The sequence below is a fragment of the Homo sapiens genome, chromosome 6, assembly GCF_000001405.40.
Source record: "Homo sapiens chromosome 6, GRCh38.p14 Primary Assembly".
In the NCBI taxonomy this organism is placed as follows: domain Eukaryota; kingdom Metazoa; phylum Chordata; class Mammalia; order Primates; family Hominidae; genus Homo; species Homo sapiens.
Genome location: NC_000006.12, coordinates 142301502 through 142327000, shown reverse-complemented (window position 1 = coordinate 142327000; position 25499 = coordinate 142301502). Strand labels below are relative to the sequence as shown.

General features: G+C 34.8%; 1 protein-coding gene across 16 annotated transcripts in view, besides 1 other annotated feature; it reads right to left on the bottom strand.

The window, feature by feature from the left end:
* Nucleotides 1-24994, bottom strand: part of ADGRG6 (adhesion G protein-coupled receptor G6) — a 144255-nt gene extending 119261 nt beyond the window's left edge. For 9 of the 16 annotated variants that reach the window (XM_005267061.4, XM_006715516.3, XM_047419106.1 and 6 more), the window contains exons 1-2: nt 24670-24994; nt 17357-17457 (exon numbers count right to left, since the gene is read on the bottom strand). In XM_005267061.4, coding sequence (XP_005267118.1) covers nt 17357-17457; nt 24670-24671 — 103 coding nt within the window. In that variant the 5' untranslated portion in view covers nt 24672-24994. Of the gene's footprint in view, nt 1-17356; nt 17458-24261; nt 24325-24669 lie in introns of those variants that run through there. The other 7 variants (XM_047419103.1, XM_011535964.2, XM_047419107.1 and 4 more) reach the window with 1 other exon arrangement.
* Nucleotides 25065-25204: a silencer, noted in NCBI's record as "silent region_17614". NCBI's record gives its function as "represses an Ori minimal core promoter by ATAC-STARR-seq in GM12878 lymphoblastoid cells {active_cell/tissue: GM12878}" and the evidence as "EXISTENCE:reporter gene assay evidence [ECO:0000049][PMID:35858748]".

The window sequence follows — 25499 nt, the reverse complement described above, 5'->3', positions numbered from 1 at the left end:
GGTACTAAATCATTAAATCATGTACTAAACGTTTTCTGGATGCCATCAGTTTCTGAAAGAATGATCTGTGTCAATTAATCTTAAAAGGATTCTTAAAGTAAAAAGATTTTCAAATAAAAAGCAAATGTATGCAAATATAAATCCCACAAGTCTACAAAAAGGGTTCAGAGCCAGCTAATCACTCATGCCCCTCCACACACATACACACACCCTTAACCCTCACTTAACATGACTGCATGACTCTTTCCACAGATGCTTCTGTGATCACTTCAGCCATGATTTATCTGTCTCCACCTAATAACGGAGTTTTGATAACAGATGATCTCAGTCTCATAGAATGAGTTTGTTCTCACACCATTAATTTAAAAGAACAATGAACAGTCAAGGGGTACATAAGAACAAAACTCTGTTCTGTACAAGGAGTTGGTATTCAGTGTGACACTCATCTTGAACCATATTCAAGACCAAAGAAACCAAAAAAAAAAAAGCCAAGAGTCTGAAAACTCACGATCACTATTGTATATTGTAAATAATTAGGTCCAGCAAGATATGCCAATTATCTTTCTAAAATTCTAGTTAATTTTTCATTACCATTTCTTTTTGTATGGGAGTTTTGAAAATTCACAATTTTGCAGAAAGGAAAGGGAAACACAACTAGAAATCACTTATTAAGAAAAATCTTTTTTTTTTTTTGCTGGGAGGACATGCAGAGAAACAATAAAGTTTTGAATTTGTTTTGATGTATCCCACTTTAAATCCGTGTACATGAATTGTTCCAGAAACAACGTGTTTAAAGTCAAGTAGAATTATTTTGAAGACATATTTGGAAAAAAATAAAACTATTATTAACTCTCTCATCACTATGTTAATATTTGCATACTATCTACTAGTTTTTTACAGGCATGCATATTTTGCAAACATAGTATTTAGTATTAATATTTTATTATACTAAACCTACCTGTATTTCTACATTATAATTATAGTCATTTTGCCATAATTCATAAAATTATTCTGTATTACTGAGATTTTAGGTGGGTTTTTTTTCTACCTTACATAGTTTTAAATGAATATCTTCATGTGTGAAGCATTTGCTACTGAATTATATTCTTAGGTAATCCTCTTAGTAATTAATCAAAAGTACATTATCTTCCTGGATGATTACAGCAGAGACTATTTTTAAAAATCAAACACCTACATTTAATTTTAGTATAATAAATCCACTAATTCTAAGATAACTCCTTTTTTAAAAAAATCTACAAATATTCATTTAAATGGAAGCATATCAGATAAATTAGTAAAAGTTTGAAACTATATCATGTTTCTAAATAATTCATTGAATACAGCTATGGTTACAGGTATTTTGATTTTAAAGAACAGGGCACAGATACAATAAATGTAGAAATATTTGGTCTTTAAAATGTCAAAAATCCAAAACATACAATTCATTATATTGCAAAAAATAAGCTCCAAATTGGTTGTTTGGATTTTAGAATTCTTTTTCCCATGGAAATAACATTATAAAATTCAGTTAAAATCCCAGGCCAACTCATAATATAGCTAAAACAAAATTAATCCTAAATCCAGTTAATACCGTGGAGCCTCAGCCCAAGATTCTGCTAAGCTACAAGCCTCGTGGGAGATGTAAAGAATAGGAAGGTGGAGCTTGGTGGAAGCTCTAGCACTTCTCTCCTATGGGAACCCGGAGGAAGGTGATTACAGTGGAGGGCTATGCTGGAGCACAAACCTACCACAGGGATTGTTGGGTCAAGAAAAGACAGGAAGATGTAAACTTCATGGCCTTTTAGACATATTGTCTGTAAGTCCAAAGTTCTTATGTTACCAACTGCTTGGGAAGGTTTTCTTAAATCCTATGTACTTTTTAGGTATACAGCAAGAGACAAAATGACTGAAATGCAGAATGAGCTACGAGGATTTGTAGCATTCTAAATAATCCAAGTAAATATGCTCCCAATGTAACTAAAATGCATGGTTGTGCCTCATTCTATTTGTTTACAACATAGTTTCTCTGCCCTTCACATCAAACTGAAGAGTGGATACGTTGCCTTAATTATAAATGTCTCCCTTCTAATAATGGGCTTTACTTCATTCCCGTTGCAGTACCTATACTTTCTTAGTTTTGGGCAGAATCCAAAAATAAAGAAGATATACTCCCTACCTGTAGGCACTAACAATAAGGGAAAAATAGAAACATATTAATAATCATAAAACACAATATGGCAACAAGACATAGAATAAGTATGAATTGTTACAGAATTCCAAATGACAGATGGAGGAAAACTGGAGATTCAGAAAATACTTTGCTGCTCCATTTCCACCATTAAAATACTATCCAACAGGTGGTCACCTGGGTACACACATACCTGATAATTAAGACGAAAAAACTACCTATCTTTCTATCCTTATTTTAAATGCTGCCTACATGAAGAGGCATTTGAGACAGATCATGAGATGGCAAAGCACTTTATTAGGCAGCAATGACGGAGAATGGAGTTTTAGGTTGAATAAATGGTGTGGAGGTAGGGAAGTTTGTGGAATGCCAGAGGAAAAAATGTTTTCAGCTTGTTTATTTCTTAGATTATGTGTAAGGAAGTAGTGGAAATAGCTTAGAAAATACTGGTTGAGGATACATAGTGAGGGAACTTCAATGCCAATCAATAAAGGCCATGCTGACATCAGCAATTGAAAGCTCTCCTAAGAGCTTTAAGTGTAATTTCCTATGCAAATTACACTTAAAGAAATGTTTATAGGAAAGTGCTTTACTGCTAGATTGCAGAGGAAGACAGAAGGCAACAAAATCCATTTTTCTGTTTTACAGAAGCTGAGGCAACAGGCAATAAGGTCTGCATTAGAATAAAGGACATTCAAAAAATACAGTCAGACAAGAAATGCTCTCATATTTAGCAATGAATTAGATCTCAAAGAAGTCTGGAGGGAAGAGAAGTAATGGTATTAACACACTGAAGACAGGAAAAAGCAGCTTAGGTTGAAGAAGAGCTTAGATTGCTAGAGGTCTATGAGAAGCTCTCATAATCAGCCAGCAATAAAAATACAGTGGTATAAAAGATAAAATATGGTACACCTGTATAGGGCAGCTCCATTATACAGCCATGCACCCCATAACAACGTTTCAGTCAACGACAGACCAAATATATGATAGTGGGCCCATAATATTATAATCCTGCATTTTTATTGTACCTTTCCCAGACACATTCAGATACGCAAATACTTACCATTATGTTACAATTCCCTACAGTATTCAGTACCTGTTAAACAGGTTTATAGCCTAGAAGTAATAGGCTATACCATCTGCGTAGGAGGCTATACCATTTAGGTTTGTGTAAATACACTCTATGATGTTTGCACAGTGACGAAATCACCTAACGATGCATTTCTTAGAACATACCTTTGTCGTTAAGCAATGCATGACTAATCTTATGAGACCACTGTCATATATGTGGACTGTCAATGACCTAAATGTTGTTTTGTGGCACTTGGCTGTGTAACTGTTAACACAGGTCCTGTATAGCAAAATATCCGCTAAATCAGCTTTAATCTAAATGTATAAAACTAAGGAATGAGATCAGATTTTAAGATGTAAAGATTGAGCCTCACCTTTTTTTAATGCGTACTGGAATTCAAAATCATACTTTTCACCCTTTGGATTTACTCAATTATATATCGTACTTCTTCAAATTATCCATCCAATAAGGATACATTCTCACTTTCATGAGATGTTTTTGTATAACCCGCAAGCCATCTGGGACCTTAATATTAACAGCTGATGATTATGGGTCCTATTAGTTTGCTTCAATCAATAGCCCCATTCTCATTACAGTCTTCATAGGCAAAAAAAAAAAAAATAAGTGACATTTATACAGGGGTACAGATATAGCAGGTGCTTCTTCAGAAACAAGACTGTCTTGACTGATGCTTTCAACTCACTACTCACTCATGTAACCTCTCAAGTCAGTAACCAGGGCAGAACAAATAACACTCTCAGAGGCCATTCACCAGGTGCTGAGCTCCTCTAGGTCAGTGTTTTCAAGTGTTTGATTGAAATGTACTTTCTGGTTCATGCTTTATATTTGCTGGGAAATGAAATTTATAAAGATTTGTGGAGTTTTTCACCAAGAGCAGGCATTTGTGAAATGAGGACAAATCACTTTATAGTAAATAGATGATAAACCACTCTGTTACATTAAAACAAGTAAACAGACAAGTAAGCATACAATAAAAAATGAAGTGAGCTTTCCTGAGTCACCCATGTTTTATCTCTACTTTTTATTATGGTGACAAGCCAAAAATATCAGTAAGTCTTGCACAAGGTCCTAGTTAAAAAGCAAAATCCAATATATTATGAAAAAGGATATGTTGGTTTTTGCATTAGTTTTTAATTAAATGGGGGAAAGAAGCTCTCAAGGAAAAGAGCCTTCAGGCAAAGGTAGAATAACCCAAACTTTTGAATGTATGTAGAGGCTAAAGAAAGGTGAGGTGGCATCTTACACTTGACCTAAGCGAAGTTTATATCTTTGCAGAAATGGGTTCTCTTCCTCCGACCCAAATAATTTTTTTTTTATTTTGAGATGGGGTCTCATTCTGTCACCCAGGCTGGAGTGCAGTAGTGCAATCATGGCTCACCACAGCCTCAACTGTCCCAGCTCAAGGAATTCTCCCACCTCAGACTCTCAAGAAACTGGGACCACAGGCATGTGCTACCATGCGTGGCTAATATTTTTATTATTTGTGGAGACGAGGTCTCGCTATGTTGCCTGGACTGGTCTAGGACTACTGGGCTCCACTGATTCTCTCACCTCAGCCTTTCAAAGTTTTGGGATTACTGACATGAGTCACTGTGCCCAGGCCCCCAAAATTCTTAACTACTGAAAATATCCCTGAATACTGAATAAACATAACTAATACAAATACAGTAAAATTGAATATTCTTTTCCTGCTGGGAAGAAATATTTTCCAGCCAAAATACTCTAACAAATAAAGAAGTTGTGTTTTAGAAAGCTAGCACGTAATTCTCGATATAGATAGTAAAATCCTGATAGTTTTGGGAGCAGTGAAATTATGTTAATTGTGTCCTAAAACTATTACTTGTATATTTTAACTGGATGAGACTGTTCTAATAGAGGTATAATTTACATAGAAAAAAATGCACAGATTTAACTAAGCTGTTCAATGAGTTTTGATAAATGTATACCTCTATGTAATTATATTCAAATCAAAATTTGAAACATTTCCATCAACACAGAGAATCTTACCATATCTCCTTCCAGTCCGTTGCTCCCTAGAGGCCACCAGTGTTCTGGTTTTTATCATTATAGCTTAGCTGTGCCTATTCCGTAATTCCATATAAACAAAATCATAGAGTACGTACTCTATGTCCCTCTCTTTGTTCAACATGTTTTAGAGAACCCTATTCTTATTTTTGCATACATAGGTAGTTCATTCCTTTTTTGCTGAGTAATATTCTATATTATGAATATACCAAAATCTGTTTATGTATTTACATGTTGATAGACATTTGGATTTTTCTTTTCCACTTTGTGGCTATTATAAATAATGGTGGTGTAAAATTCTTATATAAGTCTTTTTGTGGATATTTTCATTTCTTTTGGATAAATACCCAATAATATAATTATTAAATCATAGTATATACACGTGTGTGTGTGTGTGTGTGTGTGTGTATGCATGCTTATTTTTGGAAACATAAGGATGTAATGAAAAAGGAAATATGTGAATCTTAAAAGCATGCAGATTGCTATCTTGCCATTTTTTTAATTTAATTCAGACTATTGTTTAAAAAACACTACTCAGTTTTATGCCCTGCTTCTCTCAATTACATTTTTATCTTTATCCCATTTCACTAAACATTTCAAAAATTAAGTTATGGTTATGTATACCTTTCATAATGTAAATATTCCATAATTATCAAATTCTTTCTTGGTGGATATTTGTCTTTAATATTTAATTATTATAACTATTTTTGTGATGAGAATCTATATGTGTTGTTACACATATGCACCTACTGGTCAAAGGGTTTAAAAAGTATGATAGATATAGAATTTATCAGCCTTTGAAAATGTCTTATTGCTCTAATATATATTTACAGAAAGGGATGACTACAACATAAGAAATTAATTCACAGGATCCTTTTTCAACTTAATGGTGTATTTCAAATAAAGCTGTACCACACTTATGCAATGAATATACAAGTACCGAAGCTAATTTTTGATCAAGTTATATCTGGGCTATGAAACCAGAAAAATGGAAATCAACCATCCAATTTAACGTCTGCTAACCATCCTCTGCCTGATTTTGCTATTAATAGAAACACAAGCTAAAAGTTCAGGCACGCAGTTTTCACTATGTGTACTAACTGTATCTTCCTACTACAGCTCACAAGGAACAAAGCCTCAGTACATATGGAAAAGGTATCTCTGACTGTAAAGGAACATTGTTGCAAAATTTCATTTCAGAGTCAGCATTTTAATTCATGCTACTAAGTTACTCAGAGTCAAGTTAGCAGTGCTATTGATATCAAAAGCAATTATTTTCACTCCCATTATTAGTTTAGTTGCATCCAAAAGTGCTTTAATGCTTGGTGTGTGCTGTTCAAGTTTAAATCAAATCCAACATAGATTTAAGTTTTTAATGTATTTTCTCAAAGGCACATTTTTATCTCAAATAATACTTTATTTTTAGCCTGAAATAGCCCACAATATATTTTCTGCTTTTATTTCTAAGATTACTAAAAATTAAAATACTTTTTAGGTACCATGTGTAAAGTACTACTAATGCTTCTAAGGCATAGAGTCTTAAAAAGTAACACTGTAGTCTTACTTTTAAAATATGAAAAGCTCTCCTTTAAATATGGGGAAAACAAAACTACATATGTTCATTTTTATTATTAGATTTCAAATCTAATTTTTTTTACCTCCACGTGAACAAACTGGTTTATGTATTCTGCCCTAAAAGCTAACATATACTTTTAACCTATTTTAACAAAGCCCAATGAACTACATCTTTTTCTGACCAAAAACGTAAGTTGTTACTTACAGCACTAAATGTTTATATTTTATACAAAATCTCTAGTTCCCACAGATGGGAGTTTTAAACTTAAATTAGCCCAAAGTTCCCAATTCAAGATGCTTTCAAACATAATTATGATAAAGATAAAGGCTGTGGTAAAGTAATGTCAGGCACACATAGTGGACAGAGAATAAAGATGTCTTTCTCTCTGTTTCACTTGAAACAACTGCTTTAAAGTAAATATTCTAATAACTGTCTTATGGAAAAATTTAAGTTATAATGGGAAAATTGAAATGTATTCAAAAGGAATAAACAGGAATGGGAAATGAACTAGGCAAACCAGGTGGTAAATCTGATTTAAATGAGAAACAAAAAAAGTCATATTAGTTGCTCAGAAGTCAGAAGAACCTAAAGGAACAATTTGAAGAATATGAAAAACTTCATGTAAAAAAGATGTGCTCTCAAAATTTGAATGTCAATAGACTAAATTTTAAATCATTAGTCATCTCATTCTGTCACACAATTTCACCCTTAAGCCAGACTTCCTATAAAAAAGGAGATTTTTGTCCGATTTACTTTGGACCCAGGGATTTTACTTAGGAGCTCTTACAATATACCCAGTGGAGATGAAAGCCTCAAAGGCGATAGTTATAAAGACAAAGAAGGTATTTCTGATCTAGATTCACCAACCCTCAGTCACAACTAAATATGCGTTTGAGCAAGAAGCAGAAGGCATCCAGGGCACCTGAAGTGCTATTACTATCTCCAGGTTTTCAATATGTGTGTCAGGGCTGTTCACCAATGAGGAAACTAAGGCTGCCATTTCTAAGGCACAACAGTATGACAGAGAAAAATCATAAAACTGCAGATTCAACAAACAAAAAACAATTTTTTCATTGAGTGCCCTACCACCCTAGGGAAGCTCTCAACCTCTGTGCCCTTCAGCATTCATCTTCATCTGCAATTGCACAAATCTTACTTACAGAACTGTAGCTAGTGGGGACATATCTATCTCCCCTGCTGGGCTGGAAGTCCTCATTCAGCTTTGTCAGCATCGGCCCTCACTTAACATCCTCCAGTCTGGTCTCCCACTTCCCCATCTAGCCTCATTCCCTACCTTCTTCTGCAGAGACCCTTTATTCTAGTAATGAGAAATATGCATGCTTCTACAAAGCCATTTATAATGCATCTGTGCATTTGTCCTTGTCCCTGCTCCCTTCTCTGCCCAGATCCCCCTTCTCCATTTCTAGATCCATTCTCCATATTCTCCCTTTCTGTTGTCATCAGAAGACACAGTTTTAACATTATCTATCCATGAGAATTTTTCTGAGATCTCTTCTGTTATCTCTTGACATCATGTCTATAATTCTACTAAATCGCACATCACACTGCATCCTATTATTTTTTCTCACGTTAGTCTCCCCAATAACACTAAAATTCCTTAACATTAAAGGCAATGATTTAGCTTTGCAAAATTAGGACTTTGAAATGAGCCTGATATATAAATATATAATATATAAATATATTATATATATATTTAAATTACATATAATATATAAATATATAAATATATATAAATATTATATAATATATAAATATATAATATAAATATATATAATATATAAATATATAATATAAATATATATAATATATAAATATATATAATATAAATATATATAATAAATATATATAATATATAAATATATATAATATAAATATATATAATATATAAATATATATAATATAAATATATAATATATAATATATAAATATATAATATATATAATATATAATATATATTATATAAATATATAATATATATAATATATAATATATATAAATATATATAATATAAATATATAATATATAAATATATATAATATAAATATATATAACATAAATATATATTATATATAATATATATAACATAAATATTATATATAATATATAAATATGTAATATAAATATATATAATATATAAATATATAATATAAATATATATAATATATAAATATATAATATAAATATATATAATATATATAAATATATAATATAAATATATATAATATATAAAAATATAATATAAATATATATTATATATAAATATATATAATATAAATTAATATATATAAATATATATAATATATATATTATATATAAATATATATGATATAAATATATATAATATAAATATATATTATATAAATATATATTAATATATAATATAAATATATATATATTTACTGAATGAGCAGTAAGATGCTCATTTCAAAGTCCTATATATATAATATACACCCAAATACACACACACCGCTCATTTATAATATTACAATGACATAGCCTTTAGCGTTTAAATGAGTCTAAGAACAGCAACATTAACTCTATGTTCTCTGTAACTTATTTAAGTACTATAATGCTCTCACAAATGTTAAACATATTTTAATAATGGTGGGGAAATGAGGGGACTCTGATTAAAGATACCTAACTCTTTGATAAGCTAGACACACCCTGCTAAGGAAAATCCAAGTTCTGTCAAGACAGCTTGGAAAGCAATTCAATTCATTTGCTACACATTTACTGATTCTGTCTTCCATGGTGTCACAATTAGTAGTATCATGTTTGCAAATGGACACTACCTTAAATATCAGAAAAGGCTTAAAATTCAAAGAGAACTTTCTTCTGAAAGGTCAATAAAAAAAGCAGACATCTCTAACTCATGTGTGTGGGACATGGAAGCCAGTCAGATGATGAGAAGTAATAAGAGTCCTAACCAAACGCCAAGTAAAGCATCAAGGATGCTTACCAAGCTGGAAGGAAAATGTCCTGTATCAACTTAGCAAAAGCTCTGAGAGAAAAACCACAAACCCTATTGTTTGGTGAAACATTAGGTTATCAGCAGTATTGAAACAAAAATGTTTGTGGTCTTGAGCTGCCTACAAGTAATAGATTTTCAGGTTACCATTCTAAAGAGAGATGAGATTAGCAGTTCAAATAAAACACTAATATTGACCTCTGATGAGCCAACCAGGAGACAACTGGTGTACACAATCTGATGAGGAGAATTCTGGAAAAGGTGACAGACTACATTTCCACAACCTCAGTGTATACTTGGAGCTCATTTTCTCTAAAATTAAAAAAAAACACTAAGGTAAATTATCTCTAAAAGTCTAGCTTTTCCTCCTCATAGCACTGCTACTGCAGCCACTGAAATCACTGTGATCAGAAACTCTGCCTTAAAACTCTATTCAATAAGGCCAGTGATACAGCTAAACTATTCTTTATACTCATAGGGGCCAGTATCAATTGTACATAATGTCATATTTCTGGACATATTTAAGGCATAAAACAAATAAATGAAGGACAGAAGAAAGGAACTGTGTGTATAAAAACAGTGATTAATATTGCCAGAGTATTTTTTTCCTCCAGATCTATATTTTACTTCAATAATTCTCTTTAATCAAGTTTTGGCCAGGTAAGGAATCTTCTAAAAAGATCCTTCTGTTTGCAAAAATTATGAGCATTTTCTCATTCTTGTAGTTTTGCCCAAACCAATAAGAGTGACTAGTGTAATTCTGTCATTATTAGAAAAAAGATCCTGATTTTTAAATGGTTGACACAATCCATCTTCTGAGCTCTAGTACAAACACTTTTTCTCTTTTATCTAAACCAGCAGCACCAAACTTGGAGGAGAATGTAGTAGAGGAAGGGATCTTTTTTGACTTATAATAATTTATTGCAGAAAATTATGTAATTTTTTTATAAAGCATATCATTTCTAAACCACAAGTTTAAGATGAAGTTAGTTTAGGAATGACTAAAAACCAAGATATGTTGACATGAAAGACCTAATAATTCAAACCATTTTCCTGAGAAAAATCTCATTCAAACGATTACAAATATTTTTAATGATTTTAAGAAATCAAGATAATTAGTCTTAACCATAGAAATATGGTGGCCACATATTCCCCACTGGGATACTTTATTCCTCTCTGAGAGTTTTTTCACAGGAGATGGTTAAGGTTAACCTGAACTGGTGACAGCTACCATCCATGTGCTGCCAAAGAACCTTGCTTTATTTATTTATTTATTTATTTATTTATTTATTTATTTATTTATTTATTTGAGATGTAGTTGCCCAGGCTAGAGTGCAACAGCACGATCTCGGCTCACTGCAACCTCCACCTCCCAGATTCAAGTGATTCTCCTGCCTCAGCCTCCCGAGTAGCTGGGATTACAGGCGCGCACCACCACACCAGGCTAATTTTTGGATTTTTAGTAGAGTCGGGGTTTCACCATGTTGGCCAGGCTGGTCTCAAACTTCTGGCCTCATGATCTGCCCGCCGCCTCGGCCTCCCAAAGGAACCTTGCTTTCTTTTCAGGTGTATAATCATGTTAGTTCAATGGAGGGGAAAGGATGTTTATGTGACTTGATCCTCATTGTGGGATTAATACACTTTTCTCATCTAACCTCAAAACCTTCCTCCCCATACTACCCCACCCTATAAAGTATATTTGCTCATTACATCTGGAATATATTGGGGTTTGTCTTTGGTTCTCCATTCTGTTTTTTTTTTCCATCTTCTTTACTTACTGAATACTATGATATTGCAAGTACAAACAATGCCAAAGAAGAAAGAATAGTAAGAACAGTGCCAAAGAGCACATATTCTACTTGCTGAAAATAAAAAGAAAACTCCTTAAAGAATTAAAAAGAATTTAAAAGTGTTAGACAATTTTGTGTCTGCGAAAGTCTCAGAGTTGGTATGTCCCCATTAAACTCTACAGCTCCCCAGGTTTATCTTGTCCAAGAAAGTTACCCGCCCAACCTCTAGGTCTAGTTCATTATTAAAAGTACCCGCTAAAATTGGAAGTACACAGAAGAAACTTTACAGGTAAAACAATTAAAACTATGTGCACAAAACAAAATAGACTGTATAACACACACACACACACACACACACACACACACACTCCATGATTGGACTGTAGGCTAAGGAGGTCTTCGAGGTTTCTGGTACAAATTCCTCAATACTGAGATTCCTTCATGTCCCGATTACTAGTGATAGGGGAATTTGAAGGACAGCTAGGTTTATCTTTGGACAATTAATTACTAAGAGAGTCATTTGGTTCTTACAGCATTAACACACTTGTCCTAGTTCTGCTCTTTGAGATACTTAGAAGAAGTCTGTTATCACTTCCAGATGACCACTCTCCAGATATCTAAAGGCCAGTATCTTATTCCTACTGACTTTATTACTTTAAAGTAAATGTGCCATTTCTCTACATCCATTTTTAATGCAACAATGCAACAAAATTTGTACTTAAAAAACAAACAAATTGATACACGAAAGCAAGAACGTTGTAGCTGACACAAAGGGAGTTCACAGTCGCAGCCCACCTCTAAAGAGGTTTCACTCACCCAGTATTGACAGGGACTGCTCCAAAAATTCCTCAGATAGCTTGAGACTCATCAGTATGCTGGTGTGCCTCGTCTAAATATTCTCTGTTTACCAACCCTCTCCACATTATGACAGTCATGCCTGGAGACAAGCGTGATCTCACCAATAAAAAGTAGGACACCTGACATCTCCCTCTTCCTAATATCATTTAAGTGGTGTCAGTTTCATTAGTGGTCCCATCACACTGCGGGTCACTTGAGATTGTCACTGTGGTGACAAGGCAGGTCATTCCCCTTCTACGTTTATGTAATTGGCTTTATGACCCCTCAATGTATGATTTCATATTGAACAACATCGAATTCAGGCCATCCAAAGGTGTATGAAGAAAATTATCTAGAAAGTTGCCTCAAGGAAATATCTGTATAAAACTTTCTAGACTTTATTCACTCACACTGACGCTAATCTGAGGTCTGAAACAGAAAAACAGCCTTTTAGCTGAAAGCTTCAGACAGTAATTTGGAGCACTTTGATTCTGAGTGAAACACACATACACACATTTATCATTATATGCAAAATGGTCTGTACAATTAGAGCCTTATTTTTGACCTTTAAGACACACTTAGTAATTTTCAATACACAATACTGAATTTTTTTTTAAAAAGGGGACATTCATAAAAGGATTTTTTTAGACATTTGAAAGTCCTCTGACCAAACTTTGATTTAATTCTTAAATATAGATTGCAATGTAATTGATACTAAATAATAATTGTTGATGTTATGATCATAAGAAAAATTAACACATACTACTAAATAACTGTTCATTTTATGATAAGAAAAATTAACACATAAACAAACAAAAAAGCACAAGATTCTTTTTACACAATCACCTGCCTTCCAGAACTATGCTGTGCCCTGGGCTAGAAAGTACACAATTCAGGCCAGATTTTACTTTCAGAAACATTTCCCCTGGTAGCTGTTGATGTCTCATAGATATCAGAGTAACACTGTGCTTTGAAACGATCTGCTGATATCACTGATTTTCAGGAGAGAAGGGAGGCTCCTCCTGCACTGCTCATGACTAAGACGATCTGTGTGGAAACAAGCTCCTGGTTGCTTAGAAATGTATTGGCTCTTGGCTGTTTCCCACTCTACTTGAATCCATAACCCTCTGTCTGCTTGAGATATCATCATTCATCTTCAGAGTCATGGAGTGTTAGGCCACAAAAAAGAAGTTATTATCTGAAACTCCTTTTAGAGATTCCTATTAAGTGAAGAAAGAGCCAGAGTAACAGTTAAGTAACTAACAAAATTTAAATATTCATACACTTCTATGCCTCTCTGGTCATTTTTATGTGGCTTTTTTTAAAAAAAGAAATTCATCAGCTTTTTTTCAGATTAGTAAAGTAATACCTGATCGTTGTAAGAAGGCAAAAAAATTCAGAGGTGTATGAAGTTCCATCGTCATCCCTCCTGTTTCTCCAAACTGTGCCTCTGAGACAACCCATTTTAGAAGCCTGATGAGTATCATTCCATGTTTTGTTAACATGTTTACAAAGTCTTATATAAGTGCTGGGATTACAGGTGTGAGCCACAGTGCCTGATTATAATTTGCTTTTTAATTTAACATTATTATCATGAATAGCTTCCCAAGCAAATAGGCAGTTTGACCACATTGTTTTGAGGCACTGCACAGTATTCCACAGAAGGAATGTAAAATAATGCACATAACCATCCCCCTTTCAGTGAACAACGTCTCTTCCAGTTTGCTATTGCAATGCTAGTTAACACAGTGATACAGATTTCTCTACATATTTATGTTTTTTTATTTTATAGGGTATATGCCTACATGTGAGAGTGATACACCAATGTACACATTCTTGATTTTTTTATGTGTTACCTAATTACTCTCCCAAAAGAGTCAACAGTGTCAGTGCACACTCTTTTCCTAACAATTTTGATTGTATTGGATGTTGTCAACTTTTCTAAATGGTTTCAAGATAGTGGGTAAAAATAAATCGCATTTTTATTGTTTTAAGGCATACTTCTATGGTACAAGTGTAAATATTCTAAATTGTTATTTTATTGTAGTTCTTATTAAAGGTTATAATCATCACTTGTCAAGACACAGTGAGCTATTTTTCCACACTACTTTTGAAAATCCAGAAGGTCACAAAACTCACATATTTCTTTTTTAAGTGTCCCATGAAATATAAATGTTAACTTACCTACTAGCAAACTTAATACTGCAATTCTATTATAAGAATTAAACTATGGATGTTATTGGAATCAAACCATAAGATTCTAATTTTAATCATCTGAATTAAGTGTCAATCGTAACAACCAAAAGAGATCTGCCAATCTCCTAACCTAGCTATCACAGTCAAATTAACAAAACATTAACAAACAAGACAAAAACCAAAATCTATGCAGATTATCACTAAGAATATGATATGATCCAGTGGCGCTCCTTTGAATTGAGGGATAGGGAAGGATTACATGAGGTGGTAATAATTAAACTGAGATCTGAGTGTCAAAAAGAACCAGGTAAGGGAGAAGAGGAGACTAGGAAGGCATAGACAAGGAATAGAAAGGCCAATGTGTCTACAAAATAGTGAGAGTAGGAGAGAACAGGAGGATAGAAGGAGGAATTTTAAAGGTTAAAAGAGAAGTAGATTTGAGGATAGGAGATAGGAACTAGGAGTCCTGTTTGCACATTTAAAGTTTAAGGCCTATTATAAATCCAAGGGTAGATGAGGATCAGCAACTCAAGAGATGGCTCTAGGAGCCAGGATGGACAATACAGATTTAGTGGACACTGGCATCAAGATACCATTTAAAGCCACTTGAGATCATCTAGGTGTTACCTAGAGAAGCAAAAATTAGTCAACAAAAGTGTAAACAGGGATATAACATCAGTTAAGCACTAGTCTTCAAAAACATAGCAGTATTACACTTTGATTTATGCAAAAAAAGATTTTAAATATCATATATATCCAAAGTTGTAATATGCATTATTTTAAATGGCTTGGGAGTTCATTATAAGGAACCCCATGCTGAGTCATCTTATAAGGCAAAAATTTTATATTAAAATACCTATAAGACCCTCTAAAGAGTGTTTGTGAATTCAGATATTTACCTGTGAGGTGGTGGCATTTTAAATGAGTCATTATTAGAGTGATATAGGTATTAATACAAAATGTTCTGGCCTCAAAAGTGAAACAGAAAACTATCTGTCACAAGACCTTATCTGATACACAAAAAGTTTAATAATGCAGGAAATAACAAAAAATAAGAAAATCTTGTGTGAGAGAGTAACTTAACAAGTGTAAGTACTTTGATTCTGGTGGCCTTGAGAATGAGTGCCTCCTTAAATTTTGTACCCCAGGTGATTCTCTTCCCTCAGCCTGGTCCCAGACAAGTTGATTCCTTTTCTTTAGCCTAAAAACATGTGCTTCATTTATTCAAATGATTAAAATTCAAGAATGTGCATATATTCATTAAAATGTTGACATCTAAAAGTCCAAATTGGAGGTGCCGTGGTCTCAAGAAGCCTTAAAAATATATAAATACATGACCTAACAAAAATGAAAGTAAACAGACTTCAACTAATAATGTTAATCTCATAATTTATCTCATATCATGTAATTGATTCTTAGAGAATCACTTTTGAAAGTAGTTCAACACTGTACATCATAAAACCTATCTTTAATTTTCCAATCTGTTTACAAGTGTGTTTCCTCTAATAATGACAGTAATAAGGAAAATGGCTTTACAATAAAATTCTAACAAACACACACACAAAATTCACTGAAAGATCTGTTCTGTTTTGAAGCCATTAAATAAGTGCCAGGGATTTTGCAAGTAAATAACTGAAACTCTTAAAACACTTGGAGGCTTGGAAAAAAAAGTTTTCACATCTCAATACAAGTTTAATTTCTTGATGCGTGAATAAGCAATTTTAGCAGATAATCTATTTCCACGATGTTTAAAATGTATTCTTTATGATAATATATATTATAAATATGAAATTAATAAATCTTGATTAAATTCCAAGTAATAAATACATAAGACTTCAAGAATTATGATTTTCTTAATTGACATTTTAGCTTTATTCTAAAGGAAAACATAATAAGCCTAATACATACACCAGGAGAAAACAAAGAATAAAATAGAACGGACTTAAATAAATTTGCTCAGTTCAGTGACAAAACCAGAAAATGAAGAAACAGTTTACTTTTAGATATCATTCACATTCCTCAGCCTCTAATTGGCTTATTCATATAATTTGCTGTTTACAGAAAATTTAGTTTTTTCAACAGCCACCAAGATCTTATTTCAAAGTTCAAAAAAATGTAACTAGAAAAAATACTTTAATTCCAAAAATGCTGTAATTAAAATTAACTTTCATATCAAGTAAATTAAACTGCATAGTCTAAAAACTGAATTTTCAATTCCTAATTCATATTGCAACATGCTAATAAAATGAGGATGAATGAAACTAGCAAAGTCTGTACTTTCCATAAATAACTACATGAAAACTTGAAAAGAGAAGTACTGTATATTTATTCAACAGTAGAAGAAACAGCTACCACTTTTTAAATGCGATTTATGTAGTTATCTCATCACTCAATATGGGCTACGTAAATAAATAAAAGACAACAAAGATTAAAGAAATAAACTCATTAGAAAATAAAACAATGATCAAAGAAACAGTATTCACACAAAATTCAAAGAGAACAGACAAATCATAAACAGAAAAAAACTGCCCTATAAGGATAGAAACAGGAAAAAAAAAAAAGGCAGTAAGTAAAAGTAAGGCAACATAAATAAGTAGCATGCTTACACTGCAGACAATGTCATCATGATTAAATTCCAGGTGTGAAAGAGGAAGAGTCTTACCTGAGTGAGGAACACACATGATATATAAAGCAAATAAGAACAGGAGAGGACTGGGCTTCCATTTCCAATGGCAGCTCCACATTCGATCTGAGCGAAACATCCTGCAAAGAAAGAAGATGGCAATTAGGACATTCAACATTCAGTAAAGCATTATGACAAATAAAGTAAAAACTATAGGTTTCCAGTAGGGACTGGAAAATAAACCTTTTTCATCCTTGCTTCCAAATAGAGGAGGAACTTAAAAGATGATGACGACTTGATCACTTCCTTCAAGCTAATTAGCAAAAGAAAATAAATCCATGCATTTTATTTGCCACATGGTAGCAGTTTCCTTATCAAAATATATATAATAGGTGATTTCTGCATGAAAATGGGTAGTCAGACAATTCAAAAAAATTATTTATTAAAAAATAAAGCAATGTTAGCTTCAGCCTCACCAGACTCATGTTCATCTGGGTAGAAGAAGGATGTTTCTATCAACCTTCCTTATAATCTCCCAGAAATTCAGATTGTAAGGAAATGTTTTCTTTAATGTCTGCTGCTTTACAAACGGAAATATTTAACATAAAACCAAATTGCCCAAACTCTGTTCTATCCCCTAAAGTGATACATTGAAGCATTAACATTCCAAAAAAGGTGAAGTCTTTATATATAAAATAGCTATCAAGTTTTTAAATGGCTATTGAACACCAGGTATTATAGAAAGTAGTAAATGACATTAGATGGAGAGGTGGTGCTTTGAAAACTCAACTATCCTTCTGCATGACTTACTCATTTAATTCTGAAAATTATATTTAATAATGATTTAGAAAGCAACATTCATATTATATTGTCTCAAAACAATGGTATAATACAGTTCATTGAATCAGCACCATCAAAAAAAAAAGGCAAACCAGCAAAGAAGGAAGAAATTACAAAAATCAGTCATCAAAAAGGACCATAAGTGGACTGGTGAGCAGAAGAGTTGTGAGGCAGGAAGGTAAGTAAGCAATAGTCAGAAATCTCCAGGAAACCTGAAAATCCCCTGAGAGAGAGTTACTTTGCCTATAAGTAGTAACTGAGACTCATTTTAGCAAGGAGTAACTAATAAGATAGTTTAGGGTTACAGTAATATCTACCCTAAAGCCTGCAGTTTGCTTACCTGAGTAAAATGTGTAATACTAAACAGAAAAGCAGAAAGAGAAATACTCAAATGAGCAAAATTAGACATCAAAGGACTCCTGCACTTGCCTCAAGACTGCATTTTTAAACTTTAAGAGACCATCTCCATCTCATAGCCAAGAGAATAAGCTTAGAGTGAGACAGATCTGGTTTGCTACTTATGAACTATGCTGCAAACCTTGGGAAATTGCTTGATCGCCTTGTGCCTCCTATTTCTTACCTGTAAAATAAGGAACAGCAATGAACCTAGTCCACAGTGTTGCTGAGATGATTACATAAGACGATGCCTTTCAAGAACAGTTCCTGACACTCAGCAAGTACTCAATAAATATTAGCTATTATTATGATTACTATCATTCCAGGCATTCTCATTTAAGTGGTGTTATTCTGTCCACAGTGAAATCAAAGGAAAAGACTCAAGCAAGAGTAAACAAGATTAATCTCATATGCCAACACCAATCAATTGACTTTGTGGTCACTTCTGGGATCACCTGGGCCAGAAATGAAATTGGTTATTCATGTTTGCTATGAATAAAGAAATGTTAAGTAGTATCTGAAACTCAAGCCATGTTTTAGTATTCACCAAACTAGAAGTTCTAAAATCATGCAGCTCTCCTGATGGAAATTCTAAACTAGGAAAATTCGAAACCAGGAAAAGGTTAAGATTTGAAGAGTATCTCTTGTTTGCAAGTTGTTTTCAAATCCATCCATCCAAAATATTTGAGATTAAAAGAAGTACTGCTAATGAGAAGTATGTTTTAGTAAGTAAGAAATTAGTAATTATAATAATGGATGTGGACTCTCAAACAGCAACAACTTACCTCCTGGTGCCTCTATAAACTGTGTGGTTTGTAGGGCAAGTACTTAAACCCTTAGTCTTTTCTTCTGTAAATAGGATATTACCCACCAAAAAGAACTGGAAATAACAGTACAGGTTAATCTGTAGGGGCTTTTAAAACGGTAGGTGACAAACTTCCGTCCCATAGAAAGTTCACTTATTTGGAAGAATAGGCCTGTTTCCTACTGATGCTGGATGAATGAGTATGCTTTTAAAACAAAAGCACAATTACATATTCAAAGAAATTTAGAGCTAGGAGGACCAATGCTGAAGTCTAATCTAACCTCATTTCACAAAAAAAGGAAACTTAGGTCCAGAAAAATAAAGAGACAGACCAATCAAACCTGGCTGTCACCCTTACAGATATTAACAGAAGGATGTATCAGCTCAAGAGAATTCCCAGCTTCTTACACTCTTTGACATACGACAATTATCTTTCATCAATGTGTGAATAATAGCTTTCTCTCAGATTCATTTAATCTCTAAATAATACTCATAGATTCCTGCTCATTAGTTTGGCCACAAAACACTGTTTATGCGCTCAGGCAACTTCTTTGCTATAAAAGGTTTCAGCATTTAGGGATTCCATATTCAATTCTGAAGCTGTCTTATCAAAGCTGCCTGCAATCCTATCAGTTGCAAATGATGACCATGGCTTAAGGCATTCCATGTCTCCAGACTCTATCACTTCAGACAGAAAAGAAACCCAACAAGGCAAGCACTTGTAACTAAACAAACCATAGGACAGGCCAACTTTCATCCACTTTACTGTTTACTGAAGAAGATAAACAAATAAATTAAGAATAGAACAGAGGAAGGAAAGTACTATGTGTTTTCTCAGGGGATCACTTAGCAAAGATATATCCCTGAGATTTAAATAACTATCTCCCAAGAATGGAAAATCCTGAACAGGGTTACTAAGGTTCTAAATAGGAACTACAAGGAAAAAAAACACACACACACAAAAGTACACTCTTACACCATTTTGATTGTGGCCTTAAAGTTCTACTGAAGACAGCAGGAACATTTTTTAAGTAAAAGACAGTCATAGACTCCTATATCTGGAAGAAACCTAAAGATTATGCAAAAAAAACCTATCATCTTACAGGTGAAAAACTGAGATACTAAACTACTTGCCCAAGATCATAAGATCAGTGGTGTCAGAGCCAAAAGATCCTTTTTGTCACTTGGCTTCCAACCTAGCGTCCTTTTTGAGACCCACACTACCTCTGTTGCAAACTTGTTCTCTTTTTCAATCTACATAGGCTACAAAATACAATTTGCTTTAGTCCTGTTTCCGGAAGCTTTAGAATGTAACCCTTCTACAGAATTGCTTTAAATGTCGATATGATTCCTTGTAGGCATTATTTTATCCAAATGGATCACCGAAATAATCTTAAAAACCTACCACTTTCCATCTCTCTACTCCTACTGGTTTCCCCAAAAGTCACAATTTAAAGAGAAATTAGTGAAGAAATTTTGATATTAGTGGAGAAATTGATACGATACTAATGCAATCAATACCAGCAACTGTCAGAAATAACTGCTTTCGCCATATCCCAACTCTGTTTCTATGGCAAATCTTTTCATAAAAGGGACTGGGGAATGGCAGAGAAAATACCTTAATTCTTCCAGAGTGAAAAGAACAGTAATTTGGTTTATTCAAGTCTGCTCATAATCGTTTTTCTTTTTTTTGGTTAAAGATCATGTTCCTGAGCCAAAGCAATGTATTTAAAAAAAAGTGCTATTCTATTAACTCGATTTGAGTACCTTTATTAAGCTGGGTGTACCTCCACTTCAAAAAGGCTGATTTATTCTTCAACCCTGCACAAATCTTAAACTTTATTTGAACAGTAACATGCATAACTGGCTTATACTAGAGGTGAGAGTAAAACTCAGCCTTAAGAATTACATACATAGGTACACAAGAATGACTACACATAAAGCTTGGGAAATCTGAAAAAGAGAAGTAAATTGTGTCAATATACTTGTTTTAATATTGTACTACAGGTTTTCCAAATGCTACCATTGGGGGAACTGGGTCAAAGGTATACAGGATCTCTATTTTTTGGCAACTATATTTAAAGTTAGAAATATCTTTAAAATTTCAATTGAAAAATTAAACTCTTAAGCCCTTATGCATACAACTTGTTCTCAGATGGTTCAGAAAAAAATTGTGTGTGTGTGTGTGTGTGTGTGTGTGTGTGTGTGTGTGTACAGGAGGGGCTCGTGGGGGGGGGCAGGAAAGGAGGAACGGGAATGATTAAACAAATGGGGCCAATAATTAGAATAGGTGATTCTGGGTAAAAGGTATAGAGGTGTGTTCTTTGCATAACTTTTATTTTTGAAAACGTCCTGTAGATTTAAAATGATTTCTAAAAGAGTTAAAAAATTCACATTTACATTGAAACATATCACTGTTTTCATGTCACGGCCCTCTCCTCACTATTGAGTATTATTGCTTTAATCCCTGTCACTTTGATAAAAGAAGTTGCATCTCATTTGAATTTCCTTTATTTGGATTGTCATGTTCAAGTCATTTGTATGGTTTTCTATTACAAATATACATATTTTCTTCATTGATTTGTGATTTCTTAACGACTTATTTTAAATATGTTAAACTTTTGTCATATTTGCTCTGTTTTAAATAAATGGATCTTGAAGCTTTTTTTTAAGGCATTCCAGATAATTCCATTTCAAGTAATGCTTATAATGGAAAGTAACATGACACTCAGGTAGCCACATTTTTTGATCAATATATCCTTTATATGGCACCACCCCTGTCAATTAGTATGCATCTTAACATCATCCAATGTAGATAATAATCTCATCCAATTAGAAATGAAAATGGAAAGATACAGTTTTTGCCCATGCATACCACAAACATTGAACAAAGTCTTTTCCATTTAGTCTAAATTCTAAATAGACTGTAGAAACTTTTGATTAAAAATCATCCCATCAGAAACGTAAACTCTGTAAGATATATAGGCCATTAGAAAAATAGTCAGGTTTTAAAAAGCAGTTATTAGTTTATTTTTAATATGTAAACTAATTCTCTTTCAAATCATTATTTCCAGACTTCAGAGTCATGTGTCCAGTTAGGCTACAAAACTACAGGCTTCTAATATTTCCCATAAGCCAAGAGACAATAGCCTTATTCACCATTCATATTGAAAAAGCACAATGTCATGTAATTTATATAAGCCATAAATGGAACAGTAGCTTCATGCAGCTTGAGACGAATTAATGCAAGTCTTGCTACATCTGCTAAATTTCTTAGGGTATGAAAAATATGCAGTCACTACAACTCCCAAATATATTCGTAAAGTCTATAATTAAAGAACCTGAGTATAACAATATACAAATACACTTTCTCCACAAGGAGGAGGCAGAAAATACACTTAAGTAGTTTCTGAACTTGAATCTATTAAAATTTAAAGGATAATATAGCTTATGTTACCCATTTTAACATTTTTCAACAAGATAGTAAGAATATTAATCTTGGAAAGGTTGGTAATTCTTTCCATATATTCTAACAAACCAATACCTAAAAAGAATCAGGCCATCCTAAACCACTCCATATGAATCGTAAATAGCAAAATGGAAAAAAATATACTTACCATCTGGTAAAAAATGAAAACTTTCAGTCAAAATAGCTCAAAAAAGAATCTCAAATCTAGGTATCAAGCCCTATTTTCTATGTGATTTCATATTCACGCTTTTACCCTATAATGACATGATTTTTTAATCACGAAGAATTCAAATGGACTATATAACTTAATTTCATGATCAGGAAATTTTTACATTACCTGTTGATAAGTTTAACATCTTTTATTTTAAAAACAGGTATTTATACTTTCATGTGTAATATGCTTTTTTTCTCATAAGATCTAAATGCTTAGGAAAGCTGAAAAAAACTGGGCAAATACCTGCTGTAAAATCCCTAGTATATTTTCAAGAAAAACTGAAGTTGAAAACAAGCTCATATTACTTCAAAATGTGTAGCCTGTATATGAGAACAAGTCTTATATGAAAATGCTGGCTGTATCCCAAAATAAATTTTTTCAAGTTGTACCTTGCCGATTCCACTGGCATAAATGAAACTTTAAAACTCCCAGGTGTGGAATTATTTCACATGCAGTTTCAGTAAAAATAAGTGGTTCATTTCTGATTACATCTCACAGTACCTGGAACAGAGTTACAGAGTGCTAGGCTTGTGGGCACTATCCTTTCTTTCTCCTATTTTAAAATGTGTGTTGGGGAGTGGGGAAGTAGGGAATGGAAAGTGCAGGAAAGTGTGGAAAAACAGGACCTAGGGGGCAGGTCTTTCCCCATGTACTGAACTGAAAGAGTAAATTCATGTAAGATCCAGGAGTTGGGGGAAGGAGTGTTAAGTACCAAGTTCTAGAAATTGTTGTACATGAGTTAGTGGAAGGGGATAAAATGTCTGTCACGGTGTCCGTCCAAGATTAACTAAAACATCAGAAGGAAAATTACCTATTACAAGAAAAAGAAACTTCTTAGTTGGCCACAAAAATAAGCTTGGCCCTTTGGAGTACAATCTTCCTTTTCCCATTCTGGAAAGCCAGACGGTGCTTGGCGACCCTTTCATGGGGTCGCTGTGCGCCACCTCACCATTAGGATGACAATTCTATGGAGGCAAAACCTTTTAGGTTTCTCTGTTTCAATGCCCCAATTCCCCACGCCCCCCATAAGTCTATGGAAGTCCCCTCAAATCCTATCACGTAACGTGGCGTAACCCTTAATTACTTCCTAAACTACAAAGCACACTGAAAACATTTTCTGCACACCTTAAAAAAATTCAAACACCCCAAAGATCCAAGAATAACTTCTACAGTCAATGGTGACAATGTGTAAAGTCAACATTTTCTCGGCATACTAGTACCTTCCAAGCCCCCAGGTGTTGATTCCGGAGAGCGCCTTCTTGGCAGGGCCAGGCCTCTGGACTGAGGAGCGGTGCCTGTTACTCCTTGTTTAATTTGAATTGAAAACACGTTTTCCCCATTCTTGAAGCCCTGCCCTTCTTATTAGGCTTTACACCGCCCAAATGTGAGGTTTACCTCGCTGGGGGAAAAAAAACAGCCACACACACATGTCACAACTCCACTTGGCAATAGTCCTACTCCTCAGTGCCTCGAGGGGCAAACTGAAGACAAACCGGTTTATTCCCTCCGTGCAGTTGAAGTCCTTATAAAATCATTTCTCTTGAGGGTGGGGTGGTCGGGGAGGGGGCGACAGAAGGTGGACACAGATAAAAGAGTGAAGGAATTCCAAGCTGAAAGGTGAGACTTACATGTTGACATTACTGCGCCGAGGTCCCCTTTGGCCGCAAGATCATCCTCCACCACTTTCCCGCTCTGCTGCCGCTGCTCCACCCAGGGGGAACCCAGGCGCCCCAGCCCTGCGCCGCGGCGGGACCCTCCTTTACGCCGTTTCTGGAGAGTTCATGGGCTTTCCCGACGGCGCAAGGTGAACCCTGGGCGCGGCAGCGTTCAGCGCAGGGCCTGCGGACGAGGAAGCAGGCTGGCGGCAGGTCCCTCCTCGCAGGGAAGTTGGCAGGGTGAGGGCGAGAAGCTGAGGAAGTAGGGTGTGCGTGGGGCTGGTGCTGAGGAGACCGGGCCAGGCAGGGGTGCGCGTCGCAGGTCCTCGCCCCCGCTGGCGGGAGGCGGGACTCGGCCACCACCCTAGGTACTTGGGTCCCCCTCGCGGGCGCAGGCGACTCTCCCCGGACCCGTGCGCTCCGCCCGCGCTTCCGGCGTGACTGGAGCTGGGCTCAGGTGCGGCGGCCCCGGCGGCGTGCGGCGTATGACCCGACTCCGGCTGCCCTGGTCTGGGCGCTCCGCGGCTGGGGCTGTCCCGAAGGCGCAGCTGCCCCACACAGGATCTTCAACCCCAGGGCCGAAAGGGAGAAGTCGCCCCGCGGGGCGGGACAGGCGCTTTTGGAGCGAGCAGCGAAGGGAGAGTGGCCGGGGTCGGCGATGGGCGCAGAGCCGGGCTCAGCTCCCCAGCTGGGAGGGGACAGGGCGGACCCGGAGGTCGCCGAAACGCCGGGAGCGCTGAACCCCAGAGACCCTCGGCGAGAGAAAGGAGAAGCTGGGAAGGCAGGCGCTCCTGTGGCATCTC